Genomic DNA, 24,823 nt, shown 5'->3' with positions numbered 1-24,823 from the left:
AGAAATGGCAGGACTTGGAATGCAGGGGCAGCACAGTGTGTACTCAAGACAAAAGACAAGTAAAGGAAGCAAGATACTGTGCCCAGGCCATTCTAAGGGCCTACTGGCAGGCATTTTTCAGACCATATAGGTGGACTCCTAGTTTTCCATGGGATGCATTCCTAAAAAAGCATTTTCATTTGAATGTCTGAAAATCACACATTGGGATACATGTTACGGATTTATGGATTGGGGGAAGGCTGAAAAAACATTGTGAATCCCTAATTATTGGGTCCTTAGATACTGCTTATCTCAGGCCTGAGCCACTCAGTGAACAGAAGAGAGACTATTGAGCCCAACAACTTCTCCTCCTTTGTATTAGGTTGGTGCAAAAATAACTGTAGTTTTTTGCCATTAAAAGTAACAGCCAAAACCACAATTACTTTTGCACCAACCTAATACCCCTTCTCTGATCCATTTACAGGCCCCCTGCAGAAGGTCATGATGCCCTCAGTCTTTACACTTGAACTCTGGGACTCTCTAGTTACCTGGAGAAGAGGTGGCACTGTTTTCTAACATGGAGACAGACACAACACAAACAAACATATAAAAGCTAAAATCTGAAAAAGCAAGTAAATAAGCATGATAATTACCAACTTATGCAATAAAGGATATAGGCAAGGTGACGTCAGAAAGAGTAATTTGGAGGTGGTGCTATTTAAGATAACATCATCAGGGAGGCCCTCCCGGAGACGGGGACATTTGAGCTGAGATGCAAAAGATGGTAGACACACAAAGAGCAGAGAAGGGTATGCCAGGAAGAGGGAGCAAGCCAAGACCCTCCAGCTAGTGGAGAGTTGGGGCCTGCAGGAACTGAAAGGCAGGAGGGCAGAAGGGCAGAGGTGCAGGAGGGCAGAAGGGCAGAGGTGCAAGCAGGGGCCACCTCCTGGATGAGTTTAGAGACCATGGTGAAGCCAAGTTAAAAGACAGACATTATAGAAATATGATTGGACAAAGCAGGATTTAAAATGCTGTTTAAACAATGCTATTTTCTGTTGTGTCTGCTGTATTCTATATTACATTGCATTTAACTATAAAGATATTTTAGAGAGCAGGGGAGTGGAGGAGCCAAGATGGCCGAATAGGAACAGCTCTGGTCTACAGCTCCCAGCGTAAGCGACGCAGAAGACAGGTGATTTCTGCATTTCCATCTGAGGTACTGGGTTCATCTCACTAGGGAGTGCCAGACAGTGGGCGCAGGTCAGTGGGTGCGCGCACCGTGCGCGAGCCGAAGCAGGGCGAGGCATTGCCTCACTTGGGAAGTGCAAGGGGTCAGGGAGTTCCCTTTCCGAGTCAAAGAAAGGGGTGACGGACTCACCTGGAAAATTGGGTCACTCCCACCCGAATATTGCGCTTTTTGGACCGGTTTAAAAAAACGGCGCACCACGAGATTATATCCCGCACCTGGCTCGGAGGGTCCTACGCCCACGGAGTCTCGCTGATTGCTAGCACAGCAGTCTGAGATCAAACTGCAAGGCAGCAGCGAGGCTGGGGGAGGGGCACCCGCCATTGCCCAGGCTTGCTTAGGTAAACAAAGCAGCGGGGAAGCTCGAACTGGGTGGAGCCCACCACAGCTCAAGGAGGCCTGCCTGCCTCTGTAGGCTCCACCTCTGGGGGCAGGGCACAGACAAACAAAAGGACAGCAGTAACCTCTGCAGACTTAAATGTCCCTGTCCGACAGCTTTGAAGAGAGCAGTGGTTCTCCCAGCACGCAGCTGGAGATCTGAGAACGGGCAGACTGCCTCCTCAAGTGGGTCCCTGACCCCTGACCCCCGAGCAGCCTAACTGGGAGGCACCCCCCAGCAGGGGCACACTGACACCTCACACGGCAGGGTATTCCAACAGACCTGCAGCTGAGGGTCCTGTCCGTTAGAAGGAAAACTAACAAACAGAAAGGACATCCACACGAAAAACTCATCTGTACATCACCATCATCAAAGACCAAAAGTAGATAAAACCATGAAGATGGGGAAAAAACAGAACAGAAAAACGGGAAACTCTAAAACGCAGAGCGCTTCTCCTCCTCCAAAGGAAAGCAGTTCCTCACCAGCAACGGAACAAAGCTGGATGGAGAATGACTTTGACGAGCTGAGAGAAGAAGGCTTCAGACGATCAAATTACTCTGAGCTACGGGAGGACATTCAAACCAAAGGCAAAGAAGTTGAAAACTTTGAAAAAAATTTAGAAGAATGTATAACTAGAATAACCAATAAAGAGAAGTGCTTAAAGGAGCTGATGGAGCTGAAAACCAAGGCTCGAGAACTACATGAAGAATGCAGAAGCCTCAGGAGCCGATGCGATCAACTGGAAGAAAGGATATCAGCGATGGAAGATGAAATGAATGAAATGAAGCAAGAAGGGAATTTTAGAGAAAAAAAAAAAAAAGAAATGAGCAAAGGCTCCAAGAAATATGGGACTATGTGAAAAGACCAAATCTACGTCTGATTGGTGTACCTGAAAGTGATAGGGAGAATGGAACCAAGTTGGAAAACACTCTGCAGGATATTATCCAGGAGAACTTCCCCAATCTAGCAAGGCAGGCCAACGTTCAGATTCAGGAAATACAGAGAATGCCACAAAGATACTCCTCAAGAAGAGCAACTCCAAGACACATAATTGTCAGATTCACCAAAGTTGAAATGAAGGAAAAAATGTTAAGGGCAGCCAGAGAGAAAGGTCGGGTTACCCTCAAAGGGAAGCCCATCAGACTAACAGCAGATCTCTCGGCAGAAACCCTACAAGCCAGAAGAGAGTGGGGGCCAATATTCAACATTCTTAAAGAAAAGAATTTTCAACCCAGAATTTCATATCCAGCCAAACTAAGCTTCATAAGTGAAGGAGAAATAAAATACTTTACAGACAAGCAAATGCTGAGAGATTTTGTCACCACCAGGCCTGCCCTAAAAGAGCTCCTGAAGGAAGCGCTAAACATGGAAAGGAACAACCGGTACCAGCCGCTGCAAAATCATGCCAAAATGTAAAGACCATCGAGACTAGGAAGAAACTGCATCAACTAACGAGCAAAATAACCAGCTAACATCATAATGACAGGATCAAATTCACACATAACCATATTAACTTTAAATGTAAATGGACTAAATGCTCCAATTAAAAGACACAGACTGGCAAATTGGATAAAGAGTCAAGACCCATCAGTGTGCTGTATTCAGGAAACCCATCTCACGTGCAGAGACACACATAGGCTCAAAATAAAAGGATGGAGGAAGATCTACCAAGCAAATGGAAAACAAAAAAAGGCAGGGGTTGCAATCCTAGTCTCTGATAAAACAGACTTTAAACCAACAAAGATCAAAAGAGACAAAGAAGGCCATTACATAATGGTAAAGGGATCAATTCAACAAGAAGAGCTAACTATCCTAAATATATATGCACCCAATACAGGAGCACCCAGATTCATAAAGCAAGTCCTGAGTGACCTACAAAGACACTTAGACTCCCACACATTAATAATGGGAGGCTTTAACACACCACTGTCAACATTAGACAGATCAACGAGACAGAAAGTCAACAAGGATACCCAGGAATTGAACTCAGCTCTGCACCAAGCGGACCTAATAGACATCTACAGAACTCTCCACCCAAAATCAACAGAATATACATTTTTTTCAGCACCACACCACACCTATTCCAAAATTGACCACATACTTGGAAGTAAAGCTCTGCTCAGCAAATGCAAAAGAACAGAAATTATAACAAACTATCTCTCAGACCACAGTGCAATCAAACTAGAACTCAGAATTAAGAATCTCACTCAAAACCGCTCAACTACATGGAAACTGAACAACCTGCTCCTGAATGACTACTGCATACATAACGAAATGAAGGCAGAAATAAAGATGTTCTTTGAAACCAATGAGAACAAAGACACAACATACCAGAATCTCTGGGATGCATTCAAAGCAGTGTGTAGAGGGAAATTTATAGCACTAAATGCCCACAAGAGAAAGCAGGAAAGATCCAAAATTGACACCCTAACATCACAATTAAAAGAACTAGAAAAGCAAGAGCAAACACATTCAAAAGTTAGCAGAAGGCAAGAAATAACTAAAATCAGAGCAGAACTGAAGGAAATAGAGACACAAAAAACCCTTCAAAAAATTATTGAATCCAGGAGCTGGTTTTTTGAAAGGATCAACAAAATTGATAGACCGCTAGCAAGACTAATAAAGAAAAAAAGAGAGAAGAATCAAATAGACACAATAAAAAATGATAAAGGGGATATCACCACTGATCCCACAGAAATACAAACTACCATCAGAGAATACTACAAACACCTCTATGCAAATAAACTAGAAAATCTAGAAGAAATGGATAAATTCCTCCACACATACACTCTCCCAAGACTAAACCAGGAAGAAGTTGAATCTCTGAATGGACCAATAACAGGAGCTGAAATTGTGGCAATAATCAATAGTTTACCAACCAAAAAGAGTCCAGGACCAGATGGATTCACAGCCGAATTCTACCAGAGGTACAAGGAGGAACTGGTACCATTCCTTCTGAAACTATTCCAATCAATAGAAAAAGAGGGAATCCTCCCTAACTCATTTTATGAGGCCAGCATCATTCTGATACCAAAGCCGGGCAGAGACACAACCAAAAAAGAGAATTTTAGACCAATATCTTTGATGAACATTGATGCAAAAATCCTCAATAAAATACTGGCAAAACGAATCCAGCAGCACATCAAAAAGCTTATCCACCATGATCAAGTGGGCTTCATCCCTGGGATGCAAGGCTGGTTCAATATACGCAAATCAATAAATGTAATCCAGCATATAAACAGAGCCAAAGACAAAAACCACATGATTATCTCAATAGATGCAGAAAAGGCCTTTGACAAAATTCAACAACCGTTCATGCTAAAAACTCTCAATAAATTAGGTATTGATGGGACGTATTTCAAAATAATAAGAGCTATCTATGACAAACCCACAGCCAATATCATACTAAATGGGCAAAAACTGGAAGCATTCCCTTTGAAAACTGGCACAAGACAGGGATGCCCTCTCTCACCACTCCTATTCAACATAGTGTTGGAAGTTCTGGCCAGGGCAATTAGGCAGGAGAAGGAAATAAAGGGTATTCAATTAGGAAAAGAGGAAGTCAAATTGTCCCTGTTTGCAGACGACATGATTGTATATCTAGAAAACCCCTTGTCTCAGCCCCAAATCTCCTTAAGCTGATAAGCAACTTCAGCAAAGTCTCAGGATACAAAATCAATGTACAAAAATCACAAGCATTCTTATACAACACCAACAGACAAACAGAGAGCCAAATCATGAGTGAACTCCCATTCACAATTGCTTCAAAGAGAATAAAATACCTAGGAATCCAACTTACAAGGGATGTGAAGGACCTCTTCAAGGAGAACTACAAACCACTGCTCAAGGAAATAAAAGAGGATACAAACAAATGGAAGAACATTCCATGCTCATGGGTAGGAAGAATCAATATCGTGAAAATGGCCATACTGCCCAAGGTAATTTACAGATTCAATGCCATCCCCATAAAGCTACCAATGACTTTCTTCACAGAATTGGAAAAAACTACTTTAAAGTTCATATGGAACCAAAAAAGAGCCCGCATCACCAAGGCAATCCTAAGCCAAAAGAACAAAGCTGGAGGCATCACACTACCTGACTTCAAACTATACTACAAGGCTACAGTAACCAAAACAGCATGGTACTGGTACCAAAACAGAGATATAGATCAATGGAACAGAACAGAGCCCTCAGAAATAACGCCACATATCTACAACTATCTGATCTTTGACAAACCTGAGAAAAACAAGCAATGGGGAAAGGATTCCCTATTTAATAAATGGTGCTGGGAAAACTGGCTAGCCATATGTAGAAAGCTGAAACTGGATCCCTTCCTTACACCTTATACAAAAATCAATTCAAGATGGATTAAAGACTTAAATGTTAGACCTAAAACCATAAAAACCCTAGAAGAAAATCTAGGCATTACCATTCAGGACATAGGCATGGGCAAGGACTTCATGTCCAAAACACCAAAAGCAATGGCAACAAAAGACAAAATTGACAAATGGGATCTAATTAAACTAAAGAGCTTCTGCACAGCAAAAGAAACCACCATCAGAGTGAACAGGCAACCTACAAAATGGGAGAAAATTTTCACAACCTACTCATCTGACAAAGGGCTAATATCCAGAATCTACAATGAACTCAAACAAATTTACAAGAAAAAAACAACCCCATCAAAAAGTGGGCGAAGGACATGAACAGACACTTCTCAAAAGAAGACATTTATGCAGCCAAAAAACACATGAAAAAATGCTCATCATCACTGGCCATCAGAGAAATGCAAATCAAAACCGCAATGAGATACCATCTCACACCAGTTAGAATGGCAATCATTAAAAAGTCAGGAAACAACAGGTGCTGGAGAGGATGTGGAGAAATAGGAACACTTTTACACTGTTGGTGGGAGTGTAAACTAGTTCAACCATTGTGGAAGTCAGTGTGGCGATTCCTCAGGGATCTAGAACTAGAAATACCATTTGACCCAGCCATCCCACTACTGGGTATATACCCAAAGGACTATAAATCATGCTGCTATAAAGACACATGCACACGTATGTTTATTGAGGCATTATTCACAATAGCAAAGACTTGGAACCAACCCAAATGTCCAACAACGATAGACTGGATTAAGAAAATGTGGCACATATACACCATGGAATACTATGCAGCCATAAAAAAGGATGAGTTCATGTCCTTTGTAGGGACATGGATGAAATTGGAAATCATCATTCTCAGTAAACTATCGCAAGAACAAAAAACCAAGCACCGCATATTCTCACTCATAGGTGGGAATTGAACAATGAGATCACATGGACACAGGAAGGGGAATATCACACTCTGGGGACTGTGGTGAGGTGGGGGGAGGGGGGAGGGATAGCACTGGGAGATATACCTAATGCTAGATGACGAGTTAGTGGGTGCAGCGCACCAGCATGGCACATGTATACATATGTAACTAACCTGCACAATGTGCACATGTACCCTAAAACTTAAAGTATAATAAAAAAAAGATATTTTAAATATATAGTTTGTATCATTGATCCCACTTTGTTACAGGTAATTTATTCTATTATTTTAATGGACAAAAATGGCATATTTTCATTGCAGTTGTAGAAGTACATGATCTTGCTTTCTTAAAGGTATTTTATGAATATTTTCTATTTAGTTCATATTAAACTCATACACACATTACTTTTGCTGACAAGCCCAGTGTTTTGGCACCAGCTTATCTTCCCAGTGTGTGCCAAGATGGTAATTTTCTTGATCTGATTCTCATATTCAGACTAGGACTTGATAACCTTTGTAGTACAATCCCCTCTTCTTTCTTGGAACTAAAAAATGCTGAGGATAAACCAATGGTTCTTCAGTAGATTGCTCCTCCTGTTAATTTATTCATTTATTGATTCATTTTTCCCAGTCATTAACTCAGTATCTATTTCTTTAGTATCTTATGAGCCAGCTACTCTATTATCACTGAGGACATAAAGATGGATAAGATAGTTTTTGCCCTCCAGGAGCTCACATCCTGGTAGAGAAGACAGACACTAAACCAATAATAATGATGCGGTGTGATATGCTGCATAATTACATATGCAAATGCAAGGGTAACACAAAGTGGGGGCATAATTAATTTTCCTTGGGGTAATTGGTACAAATTTCAGAGTCTGGCATTTGTCTTGAGTCTTAAAGATCTGAGCAAGATTTACTGGACAAAGATGAGGAGAAGGTCATCACAGAAGGAGGAAAAAGCATGAGCAAAGAGGGGAACTTTTTTTTATATTTTAATATTTTCATCAAAATAATGCATTCACGTGGTTTTAAAATGTAATTTTCAAGAAGAGAAAATTATAAGAAGACGCCTCTATCCCACACTTTCATTCCTAGTCTACTCCAAGGGGCAACCACTATTTTTCCTTTTTTAAAAAATATTTTTTTTTATTTTAGAATAGTTTTAGATTTGCAAAAACATGTAAAGATAGTACAGAGATTTTCTGTATATGCCACACCCAGTTTTCCTTATAAATTAAATTAATAATATTAATATCTTAATAGCACATTTACTATAATGAATGAACCAATATTGATATAGTTTTAATCCAAGCCCATCCTTTACCCACATTTCCTAACTTTTTATCTAATGATTTTTTCTGTTCCATCCAGGATCCTACAGGACATTCAATCATCACGTCTCCTTAGGCCCCTCTCAACTGTGGCAGTTTCTCAGACTTCGTTGTTTTTGCTCTTTCTCTTTCACGTGGGGAGAGTGTGGTGAGCAGAATAATGGCCCTCAGAGATATCCTTGCCCTTAATATACAGAATCTGCGAATATGTTGTTTTACGGCAAAGGGGAATTAAGATTCCCGAAGGAATTCAGGTTGTTAATCAGTTGACTTTAAGATGGGGAGAGTAACCTGGACTATCCAGATGGACTCAAAGTGATCATAAGGGTCCTTAGAAGGGAAAATGGGAGGTAGAAAGGACCAGGGAGGGATCCGCAGGAGTAGGACTTTGCTGACATTGCTGGCTTTGAAGATGGAGGAAGGGGACCATGAGCCAAGGAGAGCTGGAAAAAGGCAAAGAAATGAATTCCCCCTTACAGTCTCCAGAAAGGATCACAGCCTTGCTAAGGCCTTGATGTTCACCCAGTGATATCTGTGTTGGACTTCTGATCTATGGAACTGAGAACTGATACATTTATCTTGTTTTAAGCCACTTAGTTTGTGATAATTTGTCACAGTGGCAATAGAACACGAATGCAGGCTTCCTTCACGTAGTCCATTCCACGTTGACTTCACTTTGACTGGTTAGGAAATCATCATCCTGTTGGAGGACTGCAAAATGCTAACATACTTTGTATCTCTTTTCCTAGGAACGGCTCAGTTTCTCCAGCAAGGAATCCTCCTGTCCTGTCTAAAAGGCAACCTGCATCCTAGGAGCAAAGAGAGGGAAAAGCACTGAGGAGTACGGCCATGCCATAGGCAGATTTGCAATTAATTCTCTCGCTTGCAGCCCTATGACTAATTCTGGGCCAGGCCGTGCATATTGTCTCCAAATCCTGAGGCTCTTGCCTCCCATTCTCCAAAGAATAATCAGCCTCCTGCCTGGGGGGGTGATTACACAGCTGCTAGGGTTCTATGCCTGAGCCGTAAGTGAGGTACACAGACTGTTTCCCATGTTAACATATTCTTCAGTTTATTCCCACACTCTCTGCTGTACTGGATTCCTCAGTTTCGGAGCTTCTCCAGGAGTCTACAGGACTAACTTATTGTCTCCTTGTTAGTACCAACTTCTTGCTTGTCCTTTAAGATATGATATCCTCAATCTGGTTATATCAGACACCTTTCCTACATTCCTTTCCTGTCTTTTGAAATATGATTGAAATATTTCATCAATTAATGTCTTCTCTCCTATTCTCTTTGTACTTGCAAGCTTAAGCCTCTTTTATCTTTTCAAATATTTTAGCAGGCTCTCTGAAAGGAGAGGCTATAAACTTCTATGTCTATTCTTCTATCTTTAAATTCAACAAGAGGCAGAACACTTTCATGGTTAAGTTAGGCCTGCATTTAAATCCTGCCTCTGTCACATACTTTTCTAAGACTTAGAAATTTGCTAACCTCTGGAAACCTTGACCTCCTTTCTGTAAAATGAGAACCTACCTCATTGGGTTGTTGTGAGGATCAAATAAAATATGTATGGTTGGCACGTACTTGGCATTCAGCAATTCCTTAATAAATGTCAGTAATCACCATCATGCAGATAAGAAAGGATTTGCACATGACTGAAAAGGGAACTTGGGGACATGAGGCCCCCCAAAAAGTCAAATTGGTGTTTGAATGGCTGACATGGCAATAACTTAAGAAGAACCTGTGGGCCAGGAGCAATGGCTAATGTCTGTAATCCCAGCACTTTGGGAGGCATAGGTGGGAGGATCACTTGAGCCCAGGAGTTCAAGAAGAGCCTGGGAAACATGGCAAAACCCCATCTCTACAAAAAATAAAAATAAAAATAACAAAAACTAGCCAGGTATGGTGGCAAGCACCTGTAGTCCCAGCTACTTAGGAGGCTGAGATAGGAGGATTGATTGAGTCCAGGAGGTCATGTCACTGCACTCCAGCTTGGGTGACAGAACAAGACACTTTCTCGAAAAAAGAAAAAGAAGAAGAAGAATGTGCATCAGAGTTCCAAGCTAAAGAATCCAGAAATAGCCAACCCGGAGATTCATTTCTTATCTATGAGGAATAGTTGAACCCTTGGCCCATCCCATGGAATGCGGGCCAGACAGAGGATTGAGGCCTTTTGTCTTGGGTTAAATGAAGGTTGCCAGATGGAGGTTGCTAGGGGAATGGTGCTAAGTGAAAACACACTATAAACTGTATGTTTTTTACAAGCAGTTGTGGTTCTCCTGTCCTCCCCACTGCCACCAGACTGCCCTGTAAGTAACTTCCCTCAATGAACCCTGTGTCTCCTTTGCTGGCTCTGGGTTTCTTCTTCAGCCTCTTGAACATGGTGTCATCCCTACTGAAGTCAAAAAGGGTCCAGCACAACAGTGTTATAATGAGGTAAACCATAGCAGTGACAGGTGGCTCAGAGAAGACAGGAGGCAGGGAAGTCAGTTATGAGGCTATTTCAGTGGTTCAAGAAAGGCATGAAGCTATGCACCCCCCGAAATGGCAGTGTTTGTAGAAAGGATAGGATGAACTAAAGCTAGGCTTAGACAAACTTATCAACCCTAGATGCAGGCTATAACCCCCTGGGGAGTTTTTTAAAACATACTAATGCCCAGGTCCCGCATTGAGACCACTGAATCAGAATACCTGGAGGTGAGACCCAGGCATCAGTGCTTTTAAAGGCTTGCAGATTTTAATGTGCATCTGGGCTTAAAAACCACTGGTTTAGATGGTAGAAGTCACAGGACTGGTCAAGTGATTGTCTGAGGGCATGAAAAGGGAGGAAAAGTGCAGAATAACAAAGTTTCTGGTTTAAATGGTTAGGTGGGTGGACCTTCGGTTTCAGGAATATGGTTAGGAGATCATCTATACTACTTCAAGCAAACTTTTCATCCAACTTCTTATGCATAAGAGGACAGAAGTTGGGATGGCTAATTAAATTGATAATAAAGTTTATTTCTAATTAACACACTACCTGTCCACCACCTGTTCTGCCTTTAGGGAAAGCCAAATGTTGGAACACTGTTTCTCCCTAGCGCATTCACAGCTGTCACCAGGATGCAGCCGGAGCTTTAAAAGGGTTCCAGGGAGGCAGGCACTCTGGGCCCACGTGGGAGGTGGAGGGAAGGGGAGGTTGAAGATCATTCTCCTTGACAGAAGCCCAAACCTGGGCTTGCAGTGGCCACAGTAGTTTTATTTATTTAGGATTTACAACCTGCTTACTTTCAAAAGGATTTGAGGTAGCTTATCAGATTAAGCTAAAGCACCCGATTAGGAAATCAAAACAGAGACCACCAAAGGGCCTGGAAGCATTAGCTGCTTCCAGGCATCTGGGAAGAGCTGTTCTCTGTAACTGGGCCCTGATGCAGGCTTTGGGTTCTCCAGAGGACACTGTGGGTGGGTTGTTGGGTTTTTAGGTTTGACTTTAAAAAAAGCACACCCTTTTCCAGGAGGGACCAACTCTTTTCTTGAAACCAAACTTGAAGAGGTTTTAAGAAGGAGCTAAGTAAATGGCCCAAGGACTGAAAGTCTCAGCAGGTATAAAGCTCACAGCATGTCACTGGGAATCAGAGGCCTGGGCTCTGTACAAGCAAGTCATTTAGGTTTCTTCATCCATAAAAAGACGGGACTGAACAGATACATTTTCATCTCTGATGCTTGGATTCATTCATTTCTGATTTAATTAGAAATGAAAAATAGAATTATAACTTTATTATAATTTAGAGTGAATACATCTGTAAAGTTCTCTCAAGTATTAATCTGCTGAGCTCTTAGTATGTGCTGGAGGAGTTTATTCATCTTTGAATCTTTAACAAGAACCTATACGACAAAATTTATTCTTGTGGTAAAGTGAGAACCAAACAATTTAGATATCAGATATGGGAAAGACAAAATGTGTTATATTCTCAGTCAGACCCCAGGCTAGCCTACCTCAACTAGATAGGGGGCAATAAGGATTCCTGCAGGCAGAGCCAGTATTTTATTTAAAAGAGAGTATTGGCTGGGCACGGTGGCTCACGCCTGTAATCCCAGCACTTTGGGAGGCTGAGATGGGCGGATCACCTGAGGTCAGGAGTTTGAGACCAGCCTGACCAACAATGGAGAAACCCCATCTCTACTAAAAATACACAATTAGCCAGGCGAGGTGGTGCATGCCTGTAAGCCCAGCCACTCGGGAGGCTGAGGCAGGAGAGTCGCTTGAACCCAGGAGGCAGAGGTTGCAGTGAGCAGAGATCATGCCATTGCACTCCAGCCTGGGCAACAAGAGCGAAACTCTGCCTCAAAAAAGTAAAAGAGAGCATTGACTCTTCATAACAATCTGTAATGTGGAAAAGGAATGAACATTTACTTGGTTCCAAGTCCTACTCTGGAGTCCAAGGGCCCTGGGTAACTCCAGCTAACTTCACAGGTGCTATATATACTTTATCTAATACTCACAAGAGTGATTTTAAACCAGGATACATTTCCCCATTTTACATTTGAGGAGACTGAAGTTAAATAATCTGCCCAATGTTATACAGATTGGACTCAAACACAGATTTGTGTCTTTCCCAAGTCCATGACCTTCCCCTTTTAATTGTCAATGTACTTAATTGAGTCTTTGAAGTGCTATTCCTTTCTGCAGGAAAACTATTATTTTCTGTACATATCTTTGTTAAAACTAAGAGTATGGCCAAAAGATTTTGACATGGCAACCAATAATATCTGCTACAGTGTGTAATTCTTTTCAATGTTTTTAAAGGTCTTCAAGTCTATTCGTTTTTGTTATTCTCCTAAGTCACAAGTCTATGAGTTAGTTTGGGGCTGGTGGAGTTAATCTCCCTTGACCTTATGGAAAAGTTGAGTCCCCCAGAAGTTAAATGACTTGCATAAGGGAGTCAGCTGATAGGCCAAAAGCAAAACTGCTCTGCTCCAAACCCAGTGGTCTTCCACTGCGAAATATTTCCTCAAGCCTCATTTTCACATGAAAGATTTGTCCCGAAAAGGGGGCTATATCATGTGTTCAAGCAACTTTTTCACCTAAATCTATATCATTGAGTATCAAAATAATAAAGAGGGTTATCTAGCAACAAAAAGCAAAAAAAAAAAAAAAAAAAAAAAAAAAAAAAGGTAGGGAGTAGGAACTGGTCCCTCACTGCTGAGAAAATGCTCAGGAAAAGTAGTGCAGGAGGTCAGATGAAGGAGTTTAAGTAGCCCTGTTTCCAAGGCCAAGTCCAGCTAAGTCTACTGGTGAAGACCAAGTCCTTTTCCCTTGCTGATGGGTGGGCCAGGGTTGGGGTTCATGGGTAGGGGATAGGGAGAGTAGTGGTTCTCTACACCAGGAAAGGCATTGACCTCTGGTTTATAATCTACAGAGCCTCCATCTCCCTCCAAATGGTAGAAAGGTCACTTTTCACACTTGATTCCTGTTTCCAGAAAAGGAACTTCTATTTTAGGTATTCAGTTATATTCAGCAAGTAGTATTTATATTGAACACCAAGGTCACCACTGTGCTAGTGTTAGAGAGAATTGCTATTATTATTAACCAAATGCAATATTATGAAAGTACAGTGTGCTACTATCAAATTCAATATTAGGGGAAGTGCACTGGGCTAGCATGGCATTCAGAGTTTATATTCTAACTCAAGAAAACAGGCCAAGAGGACAAATTTGGGGGCCCAGGAAAGGACCCAGATGAACTCTTTGGCAGCTTCAAAACCTCTAGTGAAAATAAACAAAATGATTCAATGAATGCTTTATGAAATCAAGTGACTTGAAATTCTTCATATCTAGGAATATCTGAATTAAATCTAAAATGGTAAAGGAGGCCAAGCACAGTGGCTCAAGCCTGTATAATCCCAGCACTTCGGCAGGCTGAAGTGGGCAGATTACTTGAACCCAGGACTTCGAGACTAGCCTAGTGAAACCCTGTGTCTACAAAAAAAAAAAAAAAAAGTAGCTGGGTGTGGCGGTGCACACCTGTAGTCCCACCTACTCAGGAGGCTGAGGTGGGAGGATCACCTGAGCCCGGAAAGTTGGGGCTGCAGTGAGCCAAGATCACATCATTGCACTCCAGCCTGGGTGACAGAGTGAGACCCTGTCTCAAAACATAAATAAAATAAAATGGCAAAGGAGATTAAGATAAATCTTTCTGAGAAACAAAAGGGATTCTTGAGTTTACATTTAATTCCCAATGTGACAGCATCTTCCTATAAACAAAGAAGTTACTACTCTAAGTAACTCTTTAGTCTTATGCATATCAGTAAGTAATTTAGGAGACATTTTACTCTTTGGGTATTATCTAATTCACCTTGAATATAAGTTCTCACAATGCGTAAAAGAATATTTTTCTCCACTGTTGCACACTAGATTCATGTACCATAGGGAAGGTTGAGTGACCCGGTAAAATCACAAAGGATAAGCAAGCTGCTCATCTTTTCGAAGCTTTTTAGCATGGACTGTGTTTAGATACATTTTTTTAATGATAGTTTTTCCATTCCAAAAACTGGGTACGTAAATAAGCAGTGCTGAAAATGCATGGCAGCACAACAAAACTCCACATGATGTTTGCAGTTTAGCTCTCATCACTTTGTCTTAGTATTTCTCTTAAACTCTTCATGGCTTATACCCTGGTAGTTTCAGACTCCAACTGGGACCAGTGCTTACTTTCTTTTCCAGATTTCACCATTCCAAGGAAAGAAAACCTCAGCCCTTGATTTCTTGGCATAATTCCCTTTAGCACAGCTCAAGCCCAGTTCACTTTATAAAAAGTGTAAACATTTTTTTTTATTTCACTTGAAATTTAGATGAAAAAAATAAAATTCTAACCTTAAGTTGTACACACCGGAAATGATACAGAATTATAAGTCAGAGGATCTGAGTCTGGTCCTGGTGCTGCAGCTAGAAGCAGTTGTTAACTTAGGCAATTCAGTTAGTCCTTCCAATGCTCAAGCTTTTATCTATAAAATGATGGTCCTGAATGCATTCTATAATGGACACCCACCTGACCATTAACTATTTGGGTGACTACTATGTGCCAGATCCTCTGCTAGGTGCTGGGAAATCACAGAGATGATGAAGGCATGAACCACACCAACAAGGAACCTTAATTCCTAGTATCCACTGATTGCTGATTGATATTAAGCTCTGCTGAGACAGGTGACAATGCTGCCAGATCAACCTGGTGACTATTTTTCTTAACCACAAAAGCCATATTTTAAGAGAAAATGTTAGCCTATTTTTCCTAACCCCAAATAAAAATAGGGCCATAATGTTAGCCTGTTATTATAATGTACACGTCACATGCAAAGATCCTGGGTCAGATTAAGGGAAAGGAGATCTCAGAATGAATTCCAATCATCTGCTTCACTTCCTGAAAGGCTCTCTTTGCTAAATATTTGGGGCAGCATTTCCCCAAATGTGCTTCATAGTACACTCGCTCCTCAGAACATTAGTGTTCTGTGAAAGAAGGTTCCAGCATGATAGAAGTTGGAGGAATCCTGGGCAGGAAAGTTAAACAAGTTTCCTTAGAGCAGGTGTTCTTTGTGCCTCTAATGTCTACAGTGGCTCTGACAGAGCAAGGAAGCATGTTTTGAAGTGTTAACAAAACTTATTTGACCATAGAAATTGTTTGTTGTTTTACAGAACTTTCCATGGAACCAGTCCTCTATGAAATGCCATTAGGACACTTCTGAAAATGATTATTTATTTTAAAATGTATGTCTTTCACACAAAAACCTGTACATGAATGTTCATAGCACCTTCTTCATAAAAGTCCAAAAGTAGAAACAATCCAAATGTTTATCCACTGATGAATGAATACTAAAGATGTGGTATAACAATTACAGTGAAATATTTTTCAGCCGTAAAAAGGAATGAAATACCGGTATAACATGAATGAACCTTGAAAACATGGTAAGTGGAAAGATGCCAGACACAAAAGGCCACATTTTATATGATTCTCTTGATGTGAAATGTCCAGAGTAAGGAACATAAAGTAATGGAGTGCTTGCTAGGGACCAGAGTGGGGATGAATATGAAATGACAGCTAATGGATATGGGTTTTCTTTGGGTAAGGGGTGATGAAATTGTTCCAAAATTATATTGTGATGATGAACATACAGTTCCAAATATACTAAAAATCACTGAGGTATACACTTTAAATAGGAAATTGTTATGTGAATTATATCTCAATAAAGCTGTTAATAAATACATGTCTTTGTGAAAAAAAAGATTAACTGAAAGGGTTCAGGCCTATGTTTCTGTGGGTTATCCACTTATAGTTAAGATTTATCTTCCTAGTGGTGTGCATGCTATAGTGGAAGGAGCTGACCTGGTTTACAACCCAGTTGTACCATTTAACAATTAAGTGACTATGGAAAAGTCCTAACCTCATCCAAAACTAGGAATAACAACAGGACCATTGTGAGGATTAATGAACTCATGTGTGGAAGTCCTTTTGAAAAGTGTAAACATTTAGGGCTGGGCACGGTGGCCCATGCCTGTAATCCCAGCACTTTGGGAGGCCAAGGCAGGTGGATCACGAGGTCAGGAGTTTGAGACCAGCCTGGCCAACATGGTGAAACCCCATCTCTACTAAAAATACAAAAATTAGCCAGGTGCGGTGGAGGGCGCCTGTAATCCCAGCTACTCGGGAGGCTGAGCTGGGGAATCACTTGAACCCGGGAGGCAGAGGTTGCAGTGAGCCGAGATTGCACCATTGCACTCCAGCCTGGGCGACCAGGCAAGACTCTGTCTCAAAAAAAAAAAAAGAAAACAAAAATGTAAACATTTAATAAATGCTAATTACTATCTTACTGCAAATAGTTCATAGAGTGCCTTGGTGCACTGTGAGATCATTCAGCAAGGCTGTTCTCTCCTTTGAGATAACAGAATTCTTTTATCACTGGGCTGTTAGGAGAATTAAATGGGTTAGTAACTCATGTAACACTGTTAAAATATGCCTGACACTTAACATTCAATATTTATCACTTAATTTCTTATTTTTCTTGTCAAGATTGCTTAATAATCTCTACACACTGTGGTTTTTTTCTTATTTCATTCTTCTCACATCTCCATCTTTTTGACCATATCCAATATAATTCCTCCCTTTCTTTTTAGTATCTCTTAGTTATTTATAAATCAAAATATCCTTGTTTTTCTGCCTTTCCTCTAGGCTGTGTATGTCAAATTATTTTCGTTGCTTCTTAAACACATGACCTTTAACCCGTTTCTGGCTGGTCTCCAATGTGTCAGCATCCTCTTTACTCATTGGTTCAGTTCTCCAGACGATGATGGTGATAATTAGAAGAAAGAGACTAAAAAGAACAAAGAAAGAACAAAAATTCTTTTTTTAAAAACAGTTATTACCTGCTGTCTCTTAAGGAGCAATAGTTTTTAAATGACAACGTCACCAAATATAGGTGCATGCTAAATACTGGCAGAGTATGTTGTGCATTTATAGGTAAGTGCTAATGAACTGAGCCTAGACAAGCAGGAAGGATGCTGTGCATCTCTCCAAGAGTCAGCAGGTTAATATTTTGTATAACTTTGGTCACTTTCTAGTTAAAACTTTATAACGAAGATACCTTACTAATCAAATGAGAAATATGAAAATACAGACTTCAGAAAGCATGAAAAGGAGAAAAGAAATAGGACTCATGAGATCTACTTACTAGTTTTGTTTTCTTCCTTTGAAGACTAGCATTCAATAAAATCCCTTTTTGGGTCTATGATTCTAAATCTATGATTCAGATAGGAGGAGGGTGAGGATTGAAAACCTATTTAGTGGGTACTATGCTTATTATCTGGGTGAAAAAATAATCTGTACACCAAACTTTATGACACGCAATTTACCCATATAACAAACCTGCACATATACCCTTGAACCTAAAATAAAAGTTAAGGCTGGGTGCAGGGGCTCACGCCTGTAATCTTAGCACTTTGGGAGGCCTAGGTGGGTGGATCACCTGAGGTCAGGAGTTCAAGACCAGCCTGGCCAACATAGTGAAACCCCATCTCTACTAAAAAAAAAAAAAAAAAAAAAATTAGCCAGGTGTAGTGGCATGTGCCTGTAATCCCAGCTACCTGGGAGGCTGAGGCAGTAGAATCGCTGGAACCCAGGAGGCAGAGGATGCAGTGAGCCGAGATGGCGCCACTACGCTCCAGCCTGGGTGACAGAGTGAGATTCTGTCTTAAAAATATATACATAAATAAATAAGTAAATGCATAAATAAATAAATGTTAAAATAAAAAAAAAATGACCCTAAAATAAATGAAGAGATTATAGTCACCATTCATGAGTTAATTCATTCAATAAACACTTATGGAGTGCCTGTAGTATACAGGAGCATAACTTATTCAATGAGTGGTACGTGAGAGGATACATCACAAGAGAATACCTCACCCACACTGGTAGTTCAGCAAAAGCTTCCTGGTCAACATGACAGTGAGCTAGGTCTTAAAGAAAATGCAGATATTAGGCAGTTGAAAGGAGGAAGATCATTCCAGGAAAAGGGAAGAGCTTATGCAAAGGTACAAAGGCTTGAGAACAGCCAACATGCTCTGAGAACCCATTATATTTATAAACACACAGTACAAACAACATGGCTGGTATGGGTGTTTGTGAAGGACACAGCACAATCTGCTATGAGTACCTAGTATATTTCTTAGTGTGTCATGCTGAGGAATTTGGATGTTGTCCCACAAGCAACAGGGAATAGAGATTTGTAAATGAACAAGTGACATAATCACATTTGCATTTTAGAAATATTTGGGAATATGGAAAAGAAGTAAGAGGAGAGGTGTAGAGGCAGGAAAATCATTTGGGCAAAAAATGATAAGGGCCTTCCTGCCTCTACACTTGTCTTCTTATTTCTTTTCCATATTCCCAAATATTTCTAACATAGGTTGGTGACCTAGGGGAGACCATCCTTTTGAAGGGACTTAGCTGTGAAGGGAAGGAGAGAGGGCAGTAACTAGAGGAGACATGATAGAGTTTTCTTTCTTTCTTTGTCTTAGGATGAAAATGTCATAAATAAGTCTGATGAGAAGGAAGAACTAATGGAATGCAAAAGGCTGAAGGGATATAAAAGAAAGGAGATAATTAATGGAATGAGTTTTACAAAAATATTCCTAATTAGAGTCCTTTAAATGGGATACTCCTCATGGGCCCATAAATTATTATATAATTTTACAAAAGAAATAGATTCCTTCTAAGCAGCACTTGAACTGTAGAAATCAAGAAATACTTGTGGTGTTGCTCTGTCATCTATAAGAAATATCCATATATCCATTAAAGTGTCTTTATTTAATTGTAAAATGAGACTATGCCCATTAATTCTGTTTATCTTCTCTCCTTCTCTCCCTCTTCTCTGCCATTCCTTCTTCTAAGCCATGACTTTTATTCAGGGCTCCAAATGGAAGGGGATGCATCTATTCCAAGCCTTTGTTCATTCTAACCCATGTGCTTTATAGTTTTCAATTTACATGCAGAAATTGAGACAGAAGAAATCTCACCAAAACCATTCATGTAGTCCTGTGAGATGACTGCCTAGAAGAAGAAGAAATTCAATAAAATGCATTCAGGTTTGTAGCACTGTGTTCAAATTCAAATTCTCCTGCTTCTAAGCAGCCACCATCATATTGTCCATCTTTCTATCTGAATGAACATAGCTCGCATTTGAGTCTTGGAATAGGGGAGAGGAAACTCTAGAAAAAAATTTCCTTTACTCCTTTCTGTTTACGTCGCTTTATGTTAAGTGGCAAAGTAGTTCATTTTAAAAATTAGAACACTCAATAGCTTAAAAGCTGAATTGATAGTTTTTAAAAATAAAAATTATATACAGATTTTATTAAAAGCTCTAACAGAACAGAGGGTATTAAGCAAAAGATAAAATTCCCTCCAGCCTGTCATTGCCCTAGGACCCCTCCCCAGACATAATCATTGACAGTAGTTAATTGGGTATCTTGCCAGAAATTCCCTAAGCATGTGTGAGCAAAAATATGATTACATTTCATTTGAAAGGAAGACGATGGCAGTTATGATCACTTGGTCCCTGTGCTGCCACAGTCCTGGGCTTTTGTTTCTAAATCTTTCGAGTAAGTAGGTCTTTAGCAGGTCTTTTTTTTTTTTTCTTTTCCAATTGAATTAACTAAAATGGGCATACCAACTGCACATTATAGTCTTGATTTGGTAGTGATAAAGTCCAAAGTAGGTGTTAGAAGTGCTAAGAGGGAACTTCAACCCTCTGATCCTCCTCTTTCTCCTCCAAAGAGGAAAAGCAGCTTTGAAAAGTGCAGCCCCTGCTGAGGTCCATCTCTGACCGCCTCCGGGCTTCTCTCTAGAAGCTCTGTCCTTTTCCCAGCTGGAGCCCCTCCTCCTTGGATGGGGCAGGCATCCTGCTGCTGCTGGCTGAGCCTTAATGAGTATCCAGTTAAATAGAAAGCTGAAATCCTCTTTTCTGAAGACAAGAGAGGATAGACTTGAGGTAGAAAACATCATGAACTAGAAAGTAAATGAGGAGGAATCAGAGTTTGACTTTAAATAAGAAGAAGAATCTTTTTAAAAATTCTGGCAATGATCTGCTGTTTCCCCACGTATCAATTTTCACGGATCCACTGTCGGAGAGAGCTCTCTTTCATCACATTACATAGCTACAATACCGCTTTAAATGTGCAAATCTGCGCCTTTGCTTGCTTCTGTTGACAAAAGATAACCCTCCTACTGTTTCAGTTTCAGCCTTTCCAGTCCTCAGTGACCTGAGCAAGTAAATGAGCAAAAGGGATACATAGACTCCTACTTTTTGGCATCGACCCAATTTTCCAATCTTCAAAATTCTCAGCCAGTTTCCCTCTCCTCATCACCGCATTGTGCTACTTGAAAGACACAGTGAAAATAGCTATGGGAACACAAAGAAAGAAAGAACACGCACCATGGGGTTAGCGAAGAGGAAACCCTCTTAACAGATTTCAAAAGAATAAATCCTGGAGCAATGCTGAGTCTTAAAAGATTTACCAGAAATATAGGCAGAACTCCAAGACTATGAGGCTGGAAAAAATTAAGATATTGGGCACTGTAAGATAGAAGATAAGGAGAGGAGAAATCCCCAATGAATTAATAATCAAATTCATGTATGGCTTCTTGTTAACGAGAATCCTACCAAGAATCCCAAGATTGAACCTGGTTACTCTGCTAGTTGTAGTAAATATGATGGAGTGCTTGTTAAAGTAATCTGTAAAACCTTATTTCTGAAGTAATTTCATGTACTCTTGGCCTTTCAGGTAGCCAAATCCTGCACAAAGTCAGAACTTTTTAGTAATTTTTTTCAATCAAATATTTTCTATAGTAGTATTGCCTGGTTTGTCTTACATTCTGGCAATACTTTCCCAGAAATATTGAAATCTATAGATTGATTGGACCACAGCAGTGTCCTCAGTAATTTGTCTCTGAGTTTGTTTTATAACTTAGCCAGTCTGTTATTGTTGGCTATCACAGTTGTTTTCCAATATTTCACTATCATACATGATACGGAGACCAAAAAATACAGCCATTTTTGCACAGATCCATGATTGTTTCCTCAGATGTGTTCTTAGGAATGAAATTGCTGGTCAAAATGGTTAATACAAAGCTAAGTCCAAAAATGTTATATAAATTTACCATCTCTTTATAGTAGTTTGGAGGAGAGCGCATCCCTCCCCCACTTTGAAAATATCCAGTATTTTGCCAATTTGATAGAAATTGTTTTAAAAAAGATTTCCTTTTTCTACTTGAATTTGCTTTTCCATGTGGTGAAATGCTTTTTCATTTGTTTGTGGACTTTTGTGTTTTGGTCTTGAGCCATGCGTATTGCAGCACCCCCTTCAGAACTAAACCTCCTAAAAAGGTCATATACTCTCTGTGTCCACTTCCTCACTGTTCCTTGATGTCTTAGCCCACTCCCCAACTAATCACCAATGACTTCTACTTCACGAAATCCCGGGTTCATTTTTCTGATCTCATTTTCCTAGATCTTTGGCTAATATTTGACAACATTTACCATTTCCACTTGAAAACACTCTCCTCACGCCTCCTCAGATACCACATCTGACTGGTTTTCTTTCTGCCTCTCTATCTGTTCCTTCTCAGTCTTCTCCTCTACCTGACCTCTCATGGCCCAGTCCTAGGTCCTCTTTCTAAGTGAGCTCATTCGTTTCCCATGACTTTAATTACCACAGATATTAATTACCTCATTTATAACTCCAACCCAAACTCCCTCCCCCACTACCAGGCTCCAGATTCATACATTCAACTGATAATAACATCTCTGCTTGAATATGTCTCAGGAATCTCAACTTTAACATGTTCTAACACAAACATAAGCTCTCCTTGCTTTTCTCCCAGACTTCCCTGTCACAGAAAATGTCATCACCATTTTCAGAGCTACTTAGGTCAGAAACCTGAGGGTTATTCTTGGTTGCTCCCTCACCTTCCTTTCCCACTCGTAAACAAGTCCTATTGTTTCTCTTTCCAAAATATATCTTTTTTTAAACTTTTATTTTAAGTTCAGGGGTACATGTGCAGGTTTGTTACATAGGTAAACTTGTGTCACGGGGGTTTGTTGTACAGATTATTTCATCCTCCAGGTATTAAGCCTAGTACCCGTTAGTTATTTTTCCTGATCCTCTCCTTCTACTGACCCTTCACCCTCTGGTAGGCCCCAGTGTGTGTTGCTTCCCTCTATGTGTCCACATGTTCTCATCATTTACCTCTCCCTTGTAAGTGGGAACATGCAGTATTTGGTTTTCTGTTCCCGCATTAGTTTGCTAAGGATAATAGCCTCCAGTTCCATCCATGTTCATGCAAACAACATGATCTCGTTCTTTTTTATGGCTGTATGGTATTCCATGGTATATATGTACCACATTTTCTTTATCCAGTCTACCACTGATGGGCATTTAGATTGATTCCATGTATTTGCTATTGTGAATAGTGCTAAAGTGAACATACACATGCATGTCTTTATGATAGAATGATTTATATTCCTTTGGGTACATCCCTAGTAATGGGATTGCTGGGTCAAATGGTAGTTTTGTTTTATATCTTTGAAGAATCATCACACTGTCTTCCACACTGGTTGAACTAATTTACACTCCCACCAACAGTATATGAACATTCCTTTTTCTCTACAACCTCAACAGCACCTGTTATTTTTTGACTTTTTAGTAATAGCCATTCTGACTGTTGTGAGATGGTATCTCATTGCAATTTAAATTGCTTTTCTCTAATCATCAGTGATGTTGAGTTTTTTTTCATTTGCTTGTTGGCTGCATGTATGGTCTTCTTTTGAAAAGTATCTGTTCATGTCCTTTGCCCACTTTCTAATGGGTTGTTTGATTTTGTTCTAGTAAATTTGTTTAAGTTCCTTATAGATGCTAGATATTAGACTCTTGTCTGACACATAGACTGCAAAATTTTCTTCCATTCTGTAGGTTGTCTTTTTACTCTGTTGATAGTTTCTTTTGCTGTCAGCAGCTCTTTACTTTAAATAGATCCCATTTGTCAAATTGTGCTTTTGTTGCAATTGCTTTTAGCATCTTCATCTTGAATGCCCATTCCTGTGTCCAGAATGGTATTGCCTAGGTTGTCTTCTAGGGTTTTTATGGTTTGGGGTTTTACATTCAAAATATATCTTGACCCATCTGCTCCTCTCCCTCTACTCTATAAACCTCAGTCACAGTCAACATTACCTAGGCTAGTCTAAACCCCACCACAATTTCCCATCTGGCCACCCTGTTTATACTTACATCCCTCCAATCTATTGTCCATGTAGCATTCACAAAACATTTTTTTTTAGTGTAAAATTTGATAAGGTTATTTTCCTGCTTAAAGCCCTTTATTGGATTCCCATAATTTATAAAGTTTCAAACTAGTTATCATGATCTAGAAAGCTCTGCATAACTTGACCCTTATCCATCTTTTCAAGCTCATTCCTTACCACTCTGCTTGCCCTCTCCCTTTCCACCCAGGCCTCCTTTCTGTTTCTTGTATCACTAAGCATTTGCCACCCCAGGGCCTTTGCACGTGCTGATTCCTCTTACTGGAATGTTTTTTTCACTTCCTCCCACCGTCTTACCTAGCAAGCTCCTTCTCATCCTAAAGGACTTAGGCCTTTCCTGACCACTCTATCAAAGTACTTCCCTTCAGTATTCTCCGTTACTCTGCCTTATTTGATCCCCTCATAGTACTTATGACAGTTTGTAATTACAGATATATTTGTTTCTTATGAGCTATGTCTCACCTATTAGACTCTAAGATCTGGGAGAGCAGACATGATGTCATTTTTTTCACCAGCATATACTCATTGCCTAGAACAATGCCTCCCATATAACAGGCTCTCAAGAAATATTAGTTAAATAATGGGTGAATGGCTATTTTGCCCAGTTAAATTTTTATTGGTGTTTTAATATTTTCTTGTTGATTTTCAATAATTTCAAGCACTGTATATATTAAGTATATTAATCCTTTCCCTTTTGTCTTTTATTCCGTTTTATTCGGGCCTAGATGTTTTCAATTTTATGTACTCAATT

General features: G+C 40.1%; 1 long non-coding RNA gene across 1 annotated transcript, besides 2 other annotated features; it reads left to right on the top strand.

Moving 5' to 3' along the window:
• Positions 1-723: 723 nt before the first annotated feature.
• On the top strand, positions 724-9,816 carry LINC02527 (long intergenic non-protein coding RNA 2527). Its single transcript, NR_149099.1, has 3 exons — positions 724-1,195; positions 8,271-8,378; positions 8,980-9,816. It is a non-coding gene; the product is annotated as a long intergenic non-protein coding RNA 2527 (long non-coding RNA).
• Positions 1,327-2,013: an enhancer, noted in NCBI's record as "NANOG-H3K27ac-H3K4me1 hESC enhancer chr6:112229311-112229997 (GRCh37/hg19 assembly coordinates)". NCBI's record gives its function as "activates a minimal SCP1, AML or CMV promoter by ChIP-STARR-seq in primed H9 embryonic stem cells {active_cell/tissue: H9 hESC(primed)}" and the evidence as "EXISTENCE:reporter gene assay evidence [ECO:0000049][PMID:30033119]".
• Positions 20,282-21,227: an enhancer, noted in NCBI's record as "NANOG hESC enhancer chr6:112210097-112211042 (GRCh37/hg19 assembly coordinates)". NCBI's record gives its function as "activates a minimal SCP1, AML or CMV promoter by ChIP-STARR-seq in naive H9 embryonic stem cells {active_cell/tissue: H9 hESC(naive)}" and the evidence as "EXISTENCE:reporter gene assay evidence [ECO:0000049][PMID:30033119]".

This window comes from Homo sapiens, chromosome 6 (genome assembly GCF_000001405.40).
Source record: "Homo sapiens chromosome 6, GRCh38.p14 Primary Assembly".
NCBI lineage: Eukaryota > Metazoa > Chordata > Mammalia > Primates > Hominidae > Homo > Homo sapiens.
This window is presented reverse-complemented; position numbering and strand designations above follow the sequence as displayed.